Consider the following 15870-nt stretch of genomic DNA (forward strand, 5'->3'; position numbering starts at 1 on the left):
ACCTTGGGTAAGTCATTGCCCACGTCTGGGCTTCAGTTGCCTCAAAAACCAAATGACATGGTAGGACTAGGTGCTACTTCATGGTCCAATAGACTCTGATTGCCTAAGGCTTGATATTCCCAGCCTGACTTGGACATCCCTGGCTCCATTCCTAGCTGAGTGGCTTGGCTTCTTGGAGTAGGACATGGACCTAAGACCTAACACAGGGAATGGCTGTGCCTTGAGTGGACTAGCTGCTCCCCTGCTTTAAGGTCTTCCGTGGTCCCCACTGCCCTCCAGGTAAAGCCTGAATTCCCCACTTAGAGCCTCTCTGACCTGCTCCTCCAACAAGCGCACCCTTCCTTCCTCTTCTTGGAACAGCTATTTAATTGTTCCCTTAATGTTCCATGGTGTGCCATCCTCTGCACCTTTGCTTATACTGTTCCCTCCGCCCAGGCACCCTTTCCCTGTTCTTCATTTGGCTAAGTCAGTCTTTGAGAGTGGGCTCTGGCATCACCACCTCCAGAAAGCCTTCCTGGATGTTCCCCCATCCCCAATGTGAACAGGCCCCCTTTCTCTGGGAACCTGGATTCTCCTCCCCTGAGACCCTGTTAGTTGCTGAAACAAGGTCAGGAAGCCTTTTTCAACGGGCTGCAGTGGGATCACAGTGTGCCCTCTTTGGCCTCCTCGGGGCAGCCTTGAAAGTGGGTTTCAGGTCCCTGACCCCACCCCTGGCTTTACAGGTATTTGAGGCTGTAGCAGGAACCTGAGCTTGGGGCAGGGGACTGTTGATCTCCACTAACTGTGCAGGCATTTCTCAAGGCCCTGCTGACCTAGATCTGTAGGGTGGCCACATCTTCCTACCCTCTGTAGCCCCCAGCCCCTCAGTGGACCCAGGGCATGTTCTTTATTCATATACCCCGCCCTCCACCTCCACCAAGCCCCCAGTAGGGAAAAGACCCCAGTCTGTCTCCACCCTCCTTTCCCCTCCGTATTCTCATTCTCCTCCCATCAGGACAGCCTACGCTATGTCCCCCCATGTGACACGCCCCTTCCTACCTCCACACCTGGAGTCACACTGCTTCCCCAGCATTCCTGAAGTCGCTTCTCCTCCCCAGATCCTGCCCCTTCTTCAAGACCCAGAATAAGTCCCACTTCCAAAGCCAGCATTCACATGGCTCAGGGGTGGCATCATAGGGTCCCCAGTCTCTTTGCCACCCAAAAGGATGCAGCTATGGGTTCTGCCTTCCACCCAGTGTCTGGCCCAGCATGTGACCAGAACACCCCAAGCCCCATCCCCATCAATGCACAGTGTTCCTGACAGTGTAGGCGGGGTTTTCCCTGCATACCCCTCCCGCTATGAGGACAGTTTCTCAGGAACAAGTTTATTGCAGGGAACACACTAACCTCTTTCATAATAGCCAAAGGCATAAAAACTACAAAAATATCTGGCTCTCGAGTGTGGGCAGCTCAGTGTGGGACCTGGTCTGAGTCATGACTTGGGCTGCCCTGCAGGCCAGAGGCCCGGGAGCTTTCCGGCCACTCCCCAGAGAGGTCCGTGGCGCTGAGGGGGTGAGGAAGTGCCTTGGCTGCTTCCACAGCGTGAAGGCCAAGGCTGAGGTGGAGCTGGGCTGGAGTGGTTCCAGAGAAGGCTTCATCGAGGCCCTTCAAGGCTGATGGCAGAGCCAGGGTAGGGAGACGCCTGGATGTGGCTGCCCTGGCTCAACTGGCTCCTGGACCAAGGCCCTAACCCACCAGTTTCTTTCTCCAGAACCCCTGCTGGCTCTCCCATAGCCAAGTGGGTGGAGCAGAGCCCTCCTGAGGCTCCCAGTGCAGACAGACCTCCACCCAACCACAGTGATCCGGAGGACCTGCTGGCTGCATGGCTGGTGTGATGCTGGGAGGAGAGCCGGGGAGGGAGGAGGATGGTAGGCAGGAACATGCCTCAGCACAGATGGGCAGGTGGGTTGACCTTCCCTGCCCTCAGGGCTGGGCACCATTGGCACCCAACAGGGCCGTCTTGCGGAAGACCTGCAGGGTTGGGTTGTGCAGCAGCGTGTAGGCCAGACCCCAGCGAGCCCTGCCGCGGCTGGCCCCGGGCCTAGCTCCCTTGGCCATGGAGTCCTTTGTCTGTAGCAGCTGCATCCCTGAGAGAGACGGACTTTCTGTGAGTCACTCAGCAAACACCCAGCCAACCCTCCCTGGCCCTCAGACCTGATCAGAGAGCCTGAAAATCCCAGGCGTGTGCAGGTCGTGAGGCTTAGGATGTCCCCTGCAGGCAGCACATGGAAGTGGGGGGTGAGGTCTGTGGATGGACTGGAAGCTGGGTGGGACAAGGGTCTGGAGCTGGCTTAGTGTCCCCTCCCTACACACACTTCTGGGCAGAAGGAAAGGAGGAGTCATACTCCCTGCCCCAAGGGAGAAGCGGGGGCAGTGACGGAGCCCCTTAGGAAGGCAGCTGTTTCATTCTCTCTGTGTGCACACATATGGTGTGTGTATGTGTGTGTTCATATCATGGAAAAAATCACCCTGAGATCAGACCAGGAGGGGTGACCAAAGGCAGCCAAGGAAGAGAGGAAGTGAGAATTTTCCTGGCGCTCACTCTGTGTGCTGGGGAGGGGCACACATCCTTCCTAGAAGAAGCTGGGTAGGCTCTATTCCCCCATTCCCAGTGGGAGGGCGCACCTTCGTCTTCCTCCCCTGGTCTGAGGCTGTCCTGGGGGGCTGCCATGGTCCTGGGTAGGAGGCTCTGCGCTTGCAGGAGCAGGGAGCAGAAGGCTGTCATGGCTGGATGCGACTGGCTGACTTCAATCTTCAAGAAGTTTCGGTACGTGTAGTAGCCTGGGGTGGGGTGGCGGATGGCAATGCTGGGGGAGCAGGGGCCACACTGGAGGCATCCAGACATCCCCTAACACACACACAGGGAGTGCACGTGCACTCCCTGCATCCAAGCATGTCGACACACCAAGCACGTGGCACATTGGCTGCATGGGCACGTGTGGACCTGCTAGAACACCCCACATCCACTGCACGTGCTGCAGGGCCACAGGAGGCACAGCGCAGGGGCACACAGGTGGCACATGCAGCTACAGGCATCGGTGTGAACTGATCAGCTGGCACGGCCCTGGGGCAGGGCAGATGCCTTCCTCACTGCTTGGGTAGCCTGAGCAATCCTCCAGCCCCGCCCAGTGACCTTACCGGGGTCGAGAGTGGCGGCTCTCGGTGGCAGCAGGCTGAGGTCCATCTGGCCAAGGTGGATGGCGTTGTAGAGGGCAGAGAGGAGCACTCGCCAGGTGGCCACCATGGCACCCACCAGCACATTGAGGGGGAAGAGAAGAAAGGTGGCTGCATAGAGCACTCGCCTAGGATGGGAGAAGAAAGCTGAGGCAGGCCGTTCCCCAGAGCTCCCTCCCCAGGGTCAGTGTCAGACCTGGATGCCCAGAACTGCTGTGTATTTACTGAGTGCCTACCATTTATTGCTATGTCTTCTGTGCACCCCACCCTGGGCAAGGCCTTCTCTCTTTCAACCCACCATGCTGGGAGATGGGAAACTGAGGCCCAGAGAGATTGGGAGACTTAGCCAAGGCTGTCAGCTATTCAGTGGCAGAGCTGGGCTTTAACTCTAGGTCCATCTGAGTCTTTCTATGACCCTGATGCCTCCCACCTCCCTTTTCTGGGTCCCCTGTCTGCTAATTCCAAGTTCCCCTGGGAGCCAAGGTTCTCCCACAGACTTGTCATCTGACAGGGAACTCCCTTGCTACAAAGTGGGGAGGGGCATGGTTTTAAGGAAACAGAGGATCCAGGGGAGAGCAGTACCGATTCCCAAAGCAAGAAAGGTTCACGGGGGTACTTCCAGCCCCATGCCGGGTATGTAGAGAGGTACTTTGGAGTGGGCTGAGCCATTGTCCCTTTTCTCTATGGGTAAGGCAAGCTCTTTCTACTATCATCTGGGTTCCTTGATAGAGAGAAGGGATAGATGGCAGTGGAGGGAGGACACAAAAAGAGAGAGACACCGAAGAAGAGGCGAGGGCCTGAGGGAGCCACAAGCCCAGATGCCACCTCACCGGTTGGTCAGCTGTGGGTGTCCATCATGAGTCTCCAGGAAGACCCAATGGGCTGCCATGTTCTGCAGGATCACAGCCAGGGCCAAAGTCAGCCAGAAGGGCCTGCCAGTGGGGTGGGGAGGTGGTCGCTGTTAGCGGACCTCTAAGGAGTCCCTGAGCCCTCCATGTCTTGTTTCACTCACCACGAGGACTCCAGGGAACGGAAGAGCAGGAGGTTCCTGCCATGGAGCACAGGCATGAGCACCAGGAAGGCCAGGGCCGTGGTTCCCAGGAAGAAGATGATCTGCTGCACCAGGAGCCCTGCCAGGGGCGGGAGTGGCAGGGGGACAGAAAACAGGTTCCATGAAAACTGGCCATCCCCGCTGCCCCCAGAACCAAGGGCTTTGGGATTGGGCAGGCCTGGTTTTAGATCTCTGCTCTGCCACTGCCTAGCTATGCTGCCTTGAACAAATCACTTTACTTCATTGAGCCTCAGTTTCTTCCTCTGTAAAATGGGGATAATAGTCCCTACCTCAGAGGCTGTTGTAAGGATCCAATGAGATAATGTCTGTGGAAACTCTTAAAATCACAAAATACTTTGCAAATGTTATTTCCCTCCAGTTTCTCCTGAGTTTGAGTTACTGGGGGATAAGGCTACATATTAAACTGATGTTTGCATTCCTTCAAGCCAGAGCCTGGCATACGGTAGGTGCCCAAGGACTGTCTATTGAAATAATCTGGCCAACTGATTAGAGAATGATGTCTACAAAAGGGCCTGGAGGCATAAGGGCTACCAAGAAGAGACGCTATGACTTTTGTCCTAGTAATTCATCTACTCCTTTACCATCCTTCTCCTCCCGCAAGGAGGTGAGAATGGAAGGAACTGGAGGGAGAGATACAAGGCCCTTGGATGTGCAACCCAGGCCACAGCCCCTCACCATTCAGAGTGCTTTTCTCACTGCAGTACCCAAGGGGAGAGTCAGAAACTTGGGGCTGGTAGGGGTCCTGGAAGGTTATCTGGTCCAACTCTCTCAGGGCAGGACCCCCTTTGCAGACTGCAACAATATCCATGGAACTCTGCTTGCATACCCCCAGTGACAGGGATCTCATTACCTTTGTAGGTAGCCAAATGTGACACAGCCCTTTCTTAAGCTGGAGCGCAGTGGTGCAATCTCGGCTCACTGCAACCTCCACCTCCTGGGTTCAAGCGATTCTCCTGCCTCATCCTCCCGAATAGCTGGAACTGCAGGTGCACACCACCATACCCGGCTAATTTTTGTATTTTTAGTAGAGACGGGGTCTCACCATGTTGGCCAGGCTGGTCTTCATCTCCTGACTTCGTGATCCACCTGCCTCAGCCTCCCAAAGTGCTGGGATTACAGGTGTGAGCCACTGAGCCCAGCCAGGAATGTACCATTTTGAATTTGACACCTCCAGACCTGGGTCCACCCCCATGTGAATACTTGGTGGCACCCAGGGTTCATCTCCATGTGGAGGGTACACACTCAATTTCCCGAGGGCTCCTGTACCCCCATCCTGAATAAGCTTCTTAAGGGCAGGGAAGGCAGGGGGGTCCCTCCTTCTTGCTGCTGCCCCAGAGCATTCCCAGACAAACTCTGAGGGCAGTACTTGCTGAGCACTCTTCTCCCCAACTGAGGCCAGTGTCTGAGGGGAGGCCCAGGCCAAGGCTGGGTGTGGCGGGCAAGGGAGGCTCACCAAGGCAGATAAAGGCTGTCTGGTAGGCACTGAAGCTCATCCAACAGAATATGGCTTGGCGGGAGGGATGGGGACTCCGATGCAAGGGACTCAAGTCCAGGGCAGCTCCTCGGTGCAGAGCTCGAAGGTTGGTCCTGGGGTGGGAGCCAGGGAGGCAGAGACCTCAGGGAGCAACACACTCTTCCTAAATCCTCCTCTGGGCCAGCAACTGGCCAAACTCCCAATAGAATTTCAACTCACAGCCATCAGCAGGGAAGCCCAGAACTGTGGGAGCCAGGAGGAGGCCACTAACCCAAGATATCTGGAAGAGGTGATATCTGGGTAGTCTTAAACAGTGAACGAGGAATACAAAACGAGGCAGAAGGCTCAACCTGAGCCAAGTCAGAAAAGTGAGAAACAACAGTGAGAATGGAAGTGACACACAGCACAGCCAACAGGTAAAGAGGCAAGGCAAGCACAGGCTGAGGAGCCTTGAATGCCAGAAGAAGGAGGGGTGACCTGTGGAAAAAGATCCCTGGGAAGAGCTCTGAGACCTGGCAAGTGCGCAGGAGACATGGGCCAGTTCTCTGACATGGGTAAGTGCTCGGGCTGCCCCTTCCACCTGCCCTGGGCCTTCAGTGCTCCTCACCACTCACCGCTGCAGGGCAAGCAAGGTGGCATGGCGAGACCCGTACCACCTCTCCAGTGTGCTATGCCACCAGGCTACCCCTCACCTACACTCTCACATGGCAGGGCCACCCCAGCCTCTGTTCTCGTCCACACAGTCCTCACCTCCTATCTCCTTCCATTCCCGGGCAGGTGCAGCTTCCCCAGGCCACCTTCCCTCTCATCCAGCCCACCCGGTGGCCCCTACTCAGGGGGCAAGCTCCACTAGCTGCCCTGAGTTGGTGGTGCCCTATGTCCCTCACACTCACAGACGTTTCCCCAACCAGACAGGAAGGCCCAAGGGCAGGACCCAGCCCCACCTTCTCCCACTGCAGCGCAGCCACGCACAGGTGGGCTCCATGACAGCCCGGGCCGGCAGAGCCCTTCCCTCCCTCCAGGCCCAGGGCCTCCCCGCAGGCCCACAGGACTCCCACTCCTTCCCCACCTCGGCGCTGGGTGAGCCAGAGTCTGTCACTCACCTGTGTGTCACCAGTGAGCGCATCAGGACCAGGAAGGTGAGTAAGCAGGACAAGACCAAGGCTGAGATGTAGCACACTGGTGGGCAGAGAATGAGCAAAGTGAGAGGTCAGGGTCTGGAGAGTCTCCTGGAGGCCTCAGAACCCCTGCCAGGGTGGTGCCTTGTGGGGAGTTCCCCCTGCCCCAAACTGAACTCTGTGTGGAAGCCTCTTGGCCCCACCCCCAGGTCTCAGATGCAGTGTAAGCCAATGACTTCGGCCACCCCATTCTTCCCAGTGACATACAGTGGTCAAGAGATGAAACCAGCTCTGAGTCTGCAGACCTAGTCCTCACCCTGCTGTTGCTGCTTCTATTGCTGTGGGACCTCCATCCAACCTGGCATCTGCCTCCAGCTTCACTGCTTCTTGGCCATGTGGCCTTCAGGAGGGCACTCCTTCTCCCCAGGCCCCCATTTGCTCGTGAACATACCGCACGCCGTTATGCTGCCCAGCTCTCAGGATAATGTGAGCCATAAGGCCCCATCCACGTCTGCACTAATGGTCTTCGTTCAGGGCATAGAGGGTGTGAGTCCACATCGGTGTGGACTGAGTCCATCAGAATAGGGAGGCAGCCGCTGTCACCCAGCTCCCTCACCCTCTCCCTGGCCATGCACACAATGAGTGTGTGCATGATGGTGTGTCATGAACAAGCCTGGGTGTTTAAGAATTTCAGGGGTGCAGGCTGCAACTCTCCCACCTTACGTCCACATCCAGTCTTGCTCTGGACTGTAACAGCAACCCCGCAAGGTTAGACAGAAGAACTGTTCCCACTGGGCTGAAGAGGAAGCTGAGGCTCAGAGAGAGGGCTTCGCCCAGACAGCCATGCTGCTAGGAATGATAGAGTGAGGTGTGTAACCATTTCTAAGCAGATCCAGAATGAGCCTGAGATGCCTGCACCCTGATCTCATCAGTCAGTCCAGGGAAGTGTTCCTGGTGCCCGTGTCACCACCAGAATCTCAAGGACGGGGAGAGCAAACACAGAAAAGGTGAGTGCTAGTTCCACATAGCCACAGGGATTAGAGTGGTGGATCTCAGCACCGATAGCGCCTTTAGGATCACCTGGAGCTGCTAAAACTCGCCCATAGCCCAGCCTGCACCCAAACCAGTTAAATCAGAATTTCTGTGGGTGGGACCCAGCCTTAGCCTGTGAAAGCAACACTGGTGATTCAGTGTGCAGTCAGGACTGACAGCCACTGCTCTGGGGGCTTTCCAAAGGCAGAGCCTTCATGATTTATTTCCATCAGAAATGAATTGAAATCAACCAACCAACCAATATTTATTGGGTGCCTACTACAGTGGTGATCAAACTTTGCTTGCATGAGAATCACTGGGACTGTGATCCCAACACTTTGGAAGGCTGAGGCGGTGGATCACCTGGGGTCAGAAGTTCGAGACCAGCCTGACCAATATGGTGAAACTCCGTCTCTACTAAAAATACAAAAATTAGCCAGGCCTGGTGGCGGGCCCCTGTAATCCCAGCTACTCGGGAGGCTGAGATGGGAGAATCACTTGAACCTGAGAGACGGAGGTTGCAGTGAGCCGAGATTGTGCCACGGCACTCCACCCTGGGAGACAGAATGAGACTCCGTCTCAAAACAAAACAAAATTAGCCGGGCCTGGTGGTATGTGCCTGTAATCCCAGCTACTCGGGAGGCTGAAATGGGAGAATTGCTTGAACCCAGGAGGTGGAGGTTGCAGTGAGCCGAGATTGCACCACTGCACTCCAGCCTGGGCGACAGAGCACAACTCCATCTCAAAAGAAAAAAAAAATCACTGGGAGGGCTGTTCACTCAAAGAGGCTGGGCCCCACTCTGAGAGTTTCTGATTCAGTAGGTCTGGCACAGGGCTTGAGCAACGGGAATGTTAAAGCCACCAGGTGCTTCCCAGATTCAGCCAGGGCTAAAAATGATGCTACAGAAACCTAGGCCCTTCTGCTGGTCCCTAGCTCCCTCCTCCAGGGCCCTCGCAGGGACACTTTTCTCAGAAGCAAGGTTGGGAGAAAGCACTGTGCATGCATAGCTCCAGCCTCTGTGGTCCCCCTTCTGGAGCCAGCTGGGCTGCAGCGAGGGCACATTCTGGACCATTTGCTGCCAGGAGGTGAACAGCCCGCCTGCTGAGCCTGGCCTGGTGAGTGTACAGGCTAACACAGGGTTGAAGGGTTAGCAGCCCCCTTGGCCACAGGCCTGGCCTTTGATCTCCATCCATCTACCTCCTACCTCTCTCTCCCTCCACTGGTTCCCAACTTGGGCACCCCCAAACCCCAGCACTCACACAATCTTCCTGCTCTTTGCCACCTCTGGGATCCTGTGCCTGCCTTCTTCTGGGCCCTGCTTTGGGGGATAGATCTGTCTTCCCTCATGTGATTGAGGGCCTCAAGGGCAAGTGTTCCTTTTTCACTCCAGCACTCATTTTGCAGTTGGGGAAATTGAGGTCAGGAGAGGTAATGCACTTTGCCCAAGGTCACTCAGCTTGTAAGTGATGGAACAGAGATTCTAATCTAGTTTGCCTGACTCAGTCTGAGCTCTCTGTGAGTGATGCCAGGCTTATGGTCCAAGTGCTGGGTGGCAGTCCTAACAGAAGCTCTGAGCTCAGAAGACATTAGCTCCTTAGGCGAAGGACAGACCAAGGGACACTGGAGCCCAGGTTGCGGGATGGCTTTGGCCGTATCTGTAATCCTCCTGGGCCTCAGTATTCCTCATCTGCAAATTTAAAGAGTAACTGTTGCTCTGTTTGGCCCAAGAAGATTCAAAGTGGGAGCCTTTGAGCTTGGAAACTGCAACATGCAATTAAAAATATAAGACATGATGAGTGGAAGCAGAGTCCTTTGCCCTGGATGTGTCTCATTTTGTCTTTGAGCCTCAATGTCCTGCCCTGTGAGCTGGGATCAATGATGCTGACCTACAGGGTCACTGTGAGCAAGGGTCTGAGGTTGGTTGTGGGCTGACCTGGACCATGTCTGCACCTGCCTATGAACCAGATTGCAACCAGCTCAGAAAATCTCCTGGGAGAGGACATTTTCAGCTCACCCGGAACTTGTCACCTGTCCAGTTTGTTGCCCTCAGCAGCAGTTCCAGGGCAGCCTCTAGTACGGGAACTGAGGTGCTCACGGAGATGGTGGAGGTGGTCAGGGAAGGAAGTGGTCACTCCGTGCACCTCTGCCCACCCCCCACTCCCTGCCCCGCCATGACCAGCATGCCCAGGTCTGTAGGATAAGGATGATGTTAATGGTCAGGTACAGCTGCGGAGCAGCTACACCTCCACCTGCAACGCTGGCAGCCCACGCTCTGACCACATGTTACTCCTCAGAAGCCGGGGGCCCATCCGTCCCAGCCTGGGGTCCCCAAGTAAGCAGAAGGCGCATGCCTCCTGAGTCCTCAGCACCGGGCTTTGTCCCAAGGTGATGGAGAAGGCCCCCGCCTAGGCTTCAGGAGCCCTGCGTTCTCTTGGCTGCACTCTGCCCTGCTGGATGGCCTCAGGCAAATCCTTCCCCATGTGTCAAGTGGGGACACTTCTCAGTCCCCTCCACAGCGCTGTTGGGAGCGCCCAGGAGGCAGAGTAAGTAGGTGGCTGCAGGAGGCATCAGACCACAGAAGGGGAAGCCAAGATGGTTCCCTGGTTCAGGAGCTCATTGTCAGAGGAGGGAAGGAGAAAGGAGACGGCCCCAAAAGACAGGGAGTGGGGAAGAGAAAGCCTGTGCCCTGCCCAACGCCAGACCCCTGCCACGAGGATTCGCTCAGAAATCCTCACCATCTCCCTTCGCCGTCTCTTCCCTCCTTCCCCACCCTCAGCTCCCCCATCCCATGGCCTTCCTCATCTCCATGCCTGGATAGTTGGTCAGAGACACTGGGGGTGGTGGGGGAAGATGCCACAGAAGCAGGCAAGGGACAGGAGCTGCTGAGATGTCCCTTCAGGTTTCATGGAAGCTCAGAACTGGAAGCGCCAACTGCCACAATTTGGAGATGAGGCAATCGAGACCCAGAGAGAGGAAGGAATGTGTCCAAGGGCCCCCAGTGTGTCCATGGCTGACTAGGGCATAGACCTTGGGTCTCCCCGCTTTCATTCCCCACTGCAGCCCTCAGGGGCTCCCTGGAGGCCTCACCTTCCAGAGCCCACAGATGGTGCTTCACCAGCTCCACCACCTCCTGCTTGTCCTCGGAGAGCACGATTCCAAAGCCGGCCAGCAGGTAGGAGACATCCGTGGTGACCCCTGCCCTCACCTTCTGGATAGTGGGTACCACGCCCACCAGCAGCAGCAGGGCCACCTGGAAGAGCCCCACAGTGAGGGCCCCATCCCAGGAAAGGGTTTTCTGTGCTAACAGGGGAGACGCTGGGGAAGAAACTGGCAGCACACAGGCCCCAGCCACATGCCCATTGCCCATCAGTGTTCTTATCTGCCCCTTAGAGCAGGGATCTCACGCCTCTAAATGAGGACATTACAGACAGGTGCAATCACAGCCTAATAGGCCAAAGGCATGCCTTCGAGCACCGTAACTTCATATAGTCAGCCCTGCGTATCTGTGGGTTCCACATCCACAACCAACCAATTCAATCAAGCGCAGATCAAAAATATTTGGGGAAAAACCCTCAATAAAAAATAACAATTCAATACAAATAATACAAATAAAAAATAATACAGTAGGACAACTTCTTCTTTTTTTTTTTTTTTTGAGATGGAGTCTTGCTCTGTGGCCAGGCTGGAGTGCAGTGGCGCGATCTCGGCTCACTGCAACCTCCACCTCCCAGGTTCAAGCAATTCTCCTGCCTCAGCCTCCTGAGTAGCTGGGACTACAGGCCCGCGCCACCACCGCCAGCTAATTTTTATATTTTTAGTAGAGACAGGGTTTCACTACATTGGCTGGGATGGTCTCAATCTCTTGACATTGTGATCCGCCCGCCTCAGCCTCCCAAAGTGCTGGGATTACAGGTGTGAGCCACCACACCCAGACATAGGACAACTGTTTACATAGCACTTATGTTCGATATTATAAGTACTTTAGAGATAACGAGGTATACTGGAGAATGTGTGTAGGCTATATGCAAATACTACACCATCGTATATCAGAAATTTGAGCCTTTGGATTTTGGTATGGAGGGGTGTTCCTGGAACCAACCCACCTCAGATACTGAGGGATGACTGTGTCTGCACCTCTATCTATTTACCCATCATCTATCTATCTAAACTTTGGAATGTAAAATTTCTGGTTTTTCTATGTTGTGAAAGTAAATGAGCACAGGAATTAAAGCTGGACAGACTTGGATTCAAACTTAGGCTACGCTGAGATATTAGCTGTGCAGAAACTTGGCCAAGTCAAATTCACCTCTCCAAGCTTCCATTCTCCCCATCTGTAAAGTGGAGAATAATCATACCCATCTCCCAGGATTTTAATTGTTGTTGTTGGTTTTTTCGGGGTTTTTTTTTTTTCGGAGGTGGTGAGGCAGAGTTTATCAAACATGTTGTCTTGCTAAATCTTCCCAATTACTCAAAGAGGAAAATTATTCTATTTTCTCCTTTTTACAGATGAGCTAACAGGTTCAGAGAGGTTATATAACTTGCCCAAGGCCACACAGGAGGTAAATAGTGGAGCTAGGATTTAAATTCGTGTTTATGTGGCCTCCAAAATTAATGCTCCGAGTCACTTCATGAGTCCAAGAGTGAACACCCCGGCCCTTCTGGGTAGGCCAGAACTCCCAAGATGGCCTGCAGCACCTGGTCAGGGTTCTGGATGGAGCACCTGGAGAGCTGGGTTGGGCCGGAACTGCTCCAGGCTTGGGGGTTGAGGGCAGGGCTCCAGAGGCAGATGGCAGTACAGGGTGAGGGACATACCTGGTAAATGGCCGTCCCTGTCAGTGTAGCTGAAAGCACCAGCTTCAGCGGGAGATGGAATCCTGTAGTCCTCAAAGGAAGGAGTATGGTGAACAGCACCACTCAGGCCCGGGAGCCCTCCTCCCTCCCAAGGGGCCCAGGAAAAGGGCCAGCAGGACCCTAAATGACCAAGGCCAGGCCAGGGTCTTCCCGCTGTCCCAAGCTGGTAGTTGTCCCTCTTGATGACAAGGATTCTGGGGAGCAGGAGCCAGTCCTCCACTGCAGCCATTCTGTGCAAGGGAGGGTAACGTCCCCTGTCACGCTCGGCCTCAGCTCCCAACCCCATACCTGGCTGTGGAGTGTAGATGCAGTGTCTCAAGCAGACGCGGGCCCAGGACAGGAAGCCATGCTTGGAGGTGTGGTAGCTGCAGAAAGACCCAGGCAGGTGCGGGGTCCTCAGGGGAAGCCCATTCCCTGAGGGCCAGCCCCAGAGGCTGGTCATTCTTCCCCTCTGCCCCTGCCATGCTGCCCAGTGCCAGCTTCCCAAGCACGGCTGCTAACCAGCCCAATCCATTGGCCCACAAAGGGTGTGTCAGAGACCCCACCTGCTTCCCAGCTTCTTCCTGCAAAGGAGGTTCCTCAGATATTCCTCAGAGTAGCTGCTCTGCAGCCCCTGTGGAGACAGACAATTGAACAAGCAGATGAGATCTGCCTCGACCCATTCGTGGGTCCCTGGCTCAGGGAACTAGAGTGTTCACCAAGCAGGTGCTCCATAAAAACCTGTTGGCCATGGCGGTGGTGGTGAGTGTGGATGGGGCTGACCTGTGGGGATGAGGTCCGTGCCCTCCAAAGCTTCCCTTTTCTCTCTCACAAATACAAGGCCAGTCTCCTATCAAAGAACCATCAATGCCAGGAAGTTCTTCCTAAGATCTGTCTCCAACTCTCGCCTGCTTTACTCAGTCACATCTCTTCACCGTTTCTTCCCACCCCTAGCCCTCTGGCCTCTGCTAGCTGAAACTGGGGCAAAGGGAAGCTTGTGTCCCACGGGCACATCCTAGACCAGGACACAGAAGAGGGTCATTCCAGGTCAGACACCCTCAGGCTTCTCCTGCTGCCACTGCGCAAGGGAGATCACAAGGGTGACCAGATTTGTCTAAGCCACATTCCAGGCCTTAAGCTGCCTGTGAAGTAGCAGAGGCCCATGGGAAGATGGGGTGAGCCCCTGCCTGGAATCACTGGGAGAACACAGGCTGTTGTCACTTGTTGCCATGACAACCCTGGGATCCCGGGCAGGAGTGGGTCAGCTCAAAGCTTGATGGGGGTCCTTTGAGACTTAAACCTCTTTGACCAAAGTCCAAAGAGGATTGTACACCTCTCAAGCCTGGGAGGAAAGGCTGGCAATGGAGAGAGAGATGGGGTGGTGGAAACCCTGGAAGAGAAGGTAAAGGGGCATGCCTCAGGCACTGTGTCGTCCCGGGGGGCCGCTCCCTTTTCAGAGCCAGCTGTAAACAGGAGGGGACACAGGCTTCCTCGAGGGGTGTTGGCCTCAATAGGCAGGAGCTACAAGCGCTCAGAACTCCCTGCCTGCCACGTGGGAGCCGAGTCTGGAGTCCGTGGGCCTTCTCGGACCAGAGTAGCCCAAAAGGGACCCGGGGTTCTCCATCCTGCCTAGGGATCTCACTCACTCTCTGGATTCAGTCTGACCTTGCCGAGTTAACACCCGGTCCCAGCCCCTCTGCTGAGCTCCAGACTTTGAGCAGTACACCCTCAGGACCAAGCATCATCCCAGGAGCACCTGCTCCTCCCTCCACCTTCCCTGGGCCAGCAGCTGGCACCACCACCTACCTGCTGGCTGGCCAGGTGCCTCCCATCAAGCCTTTCCTTCCCCTGCCCTGTCTGAAGAGAAGCCACGCCCTTTGGCCTCTATGTCTTAAGACTTTCTCCTGAGTCTGTTCTTCTTTCCCCTTTGAGGGTCTCTGCAGAGCTTTCTTCCTCCTCCTCTCTCACCAGAAAGAAGTAGTGGACCCCGCCCCCTGCACCACAGTCCCAACACCCGGTGCAGGTTTCACATTGCACTGCAGGTGTTTTGTGCCGCATCTGTCTCCCCCACCACACTGGGAGCTCCTGGAGATCAGACACAAGTCCATCAGCTCCAAGTCCACAGCACTGAGCCCGGGGCCTGACATATGGTAGGTGCTTAGAAGGCTTTTTAGTGAGATTGAAGTATCTTCTAAGAATTCTCTTTTACCATGATGCATTCATCCATCCATCCTTCCTTCCATACATCTTTCCTTCGATCCATCCATCCATTCATCCATCTATTCAAAAATTCAAAAATATTTGCTGAGTATCTATTAAGGGCCAAGACCCACCCAGTGCTGCAAATATAATGAACAAAACAGACACAAAACTATCTCTTCCCCTTTACTCATGCTCTTTCCCGTGCCTACAATGCCTGCTCCTTATTCTCTCATCACTCTAGATCTCCCTGTCCTTCAGGCCCTTGTAGAGTCTACCTCCTCTAGGAAGCCCTCTCAGCCCTCCCCTTTATCTGAAATTATTCAACCACATCCAACCTAGAGTTGACTCATAATGGAGTTCTGCCCTGGGTGCTTCCTGAATCATCTCATTATGTGCAGAACTCGGATTAGGCACAAGGCTCCAGGCTGTCTCTCCAGCCAGATCTCAGTGTTTCACAGACAGAGATATGACTCTCCTGGCTTCTGACTCAGTTCTGCTTTGTTAAGTCCCTACTATTCACACAGCCCAGTGCCGCGGGTATCCTGGGTGCCAGTCAAGGGCCCAGTCCAGCTTTTGCCTAGGGAGGGAGGACTAAGCAGTCACTCAGCAAACATTTTCTGAGCATCTATTCTGTGCTGGGCCCTACATCAAGCACGGCCATGTATCTGGGACCACAGATACGGGGGAGTAGGGCTGTCTTGGGTGCTGAGGAAGAGCTCATCCCAGGCCTGCCCCTTTACCTTGGAGCCTGCTCCTGTCCTACGGCTGAAGCTTCTCACCAGCTGCACAGGGTACCAAAGGCTCAGGAATCCGAGGCCCAGCAGGAGAGGCAGGGAGGCCAGCAGGGAGTAGTACTTGTAGATCTGGACAGACAAACACCCAGACAGACTACTTTCCACCTTCTTCCCCCAGCCAAGAACCAGAATCC

The 15870-nt window shown here is 55.0% G+C and overlaps 1 protein-coding gene across 12 annotated transcripts in view, besides 6 other annotated features; it reads right to left on the bottom strand.

Annotated features, from left to right (window-relative positions):
* Positions 835–1004: an enhancer, noted in NCBI's record as "experimental_40888 CRE fragment used in MPRA reporter constructs". NCBI's record gives its function as "activates a minimal promoter by MPRAs in K562 erythroleukemia cells, with activity observed for the introgressed 15:74471378 variant allele {active_cell/tissue: K562}" and the evidence as "EXISTENCE:reporter gene assay evidence [ECO:0000049][PMID:34662402]".
* The window catches only part of STRA6 (signaling receptor and transporter of retinol STRA6), a 32794-nt gene continuing 18272 nt past the window's right edge, over positions 1349–15870 (bottom strand). For 10 of the 12 annotated variants that reach the window (NM_001437994.1, XM_017022479.2, NM_001199040.2 and 7 more), the window contains exons 8-19: positions 15683–15805; positions 13307–13374; positions 13050–13126; positions 12723–12784; positions 10998–11160; positions 6863–6938; positions 5739–5872; positions 4226–4343; positions 4044–4145; positions 3178–3341; positions 2665–2820; positions 1349–2126 (exon numbers count right to left, since the gene is read on the bottom strand). In NM_001437994.1, coding sequence (NP_001424923.1) covers positions 1963–2126; positions 2665–2820; positions 3178–3341; positions 4044–4145; positions 4226–4343; positions 5739–5872; positions 6863–6938; positions 10998–11160; positions 12723–12784; positions 13050–13126; positions 13307–13374; positions 15683–15805 — 1407 coding nt within the window. In that variant the 3' untranslated portion in view covers positions 1349–1962. Of the gene's footprint in view, positions 2127–2664; positions 2821–3177; positions 3342–4043; positions 4146–4225; positions 4344–5738; positions 5873–6862; positions 6939–7193; positions 7445–10997; positions 11161–12722; positions 12785–13049; positions 13127–13306; positions 13375–15682; positions 15806–15870 lie in introns of those variants that run through there. The other 2 variants (XR_931877.3, XM_011521885.3) reach the window with 2 other exon arrangements.
* Positions 3019–3555: an enhancer, noted in NCBI's record as "H3K4me1 hESC enhancer chr15:74473477-74474013 (GRCh37/hg19 assembly coordinates)". NCBI's record gives its function as "activates a minimal SCP1, AML or CMV promoter by ChIP-STARR-seq in naive H9 embryonic stem cells {active_cell/tissue: H9 hESC(naive)}" and the evidence as "EXISTENCE:reporter gene assay evidence [ECO:0000049][PMID:30033119]".
* Positions 6060–7259: an enhancer, noted in NCBI's record as "CDK7 strongly-dependent group 2 enhancer chr15:74476518-74477717 (GRCh37/hg19 assembly coordinates)". NCBI's record gives its function as "activates an origin of replication core promoter dependent on BRD2, BRD4, P300/CBP, MED14 and CDK7 cofactors, with strong dependence on CDK7, by STARR-seq in HCT116 cells {active_cell/tissue: HCT116}" and the evidence as "EXISTENCE:reporter gene assay evidence [ECO:0000049][PMID:35650434]".
* Positions 6227–6381: a silencer, noted in NCBI's record as "fragment chr15:74476685-74476839 (GRCh37/hg19 assembly coordinates)". NCBI's record gives its function as "represses an EF-1alpha promoter that drives an FKBP-Casp9 reporter gene in an ReSE screen in HepG2 liver carcinoma cells {active_cell/tissue: HepG2}" and the evidence as "EXISTENCE:reporter gene assay evidence [ECO:0000049][PMID:32094911]".
* Positions 6992–7051: an enhancer, noted in NCBI's record as "active region_9745". NCBI's record gives its function as "activates an Ori minimal core promoter by ATAC-STARR-seq in GM12878 lymphoblastoid cells {active_cell/tissue: GM12878}" and the evidence as "EXISTENCE:reporter gene assay evidence [ECO:0000049][PMID:35858748]".
* Positions 15357–15858: an enhancer, noted in NCBI's record as "H3K4me1 hESC enhancer chr15:74485815-74486316 (GRCh37/hg19 assembly coordinates)". NCBI's record gives its function as "activates a minimal SCP1, AML or CMV promoter by ChIP-STARR-seq in naive H9 embryonic stem cells {active_cell/tissue: H9 hESC(naive)}" and the evidence as "EXISTENCE:reporter gene assay evidence [ECO:0000049][PMID:30033119]".

The sequence above is a fragment of the Homo sapiens genome, chromosome 15 (assembly GCF_000001405.40).
Source record: "Homo sapiens chromosome 15, GRCh38.p14 Primary Assembly".
Lineage (NCBI taxonomy): Eukaryota > Metazoa > Chordata > Mammalia > Primates > Hominidae > Homo > Homo sapiens.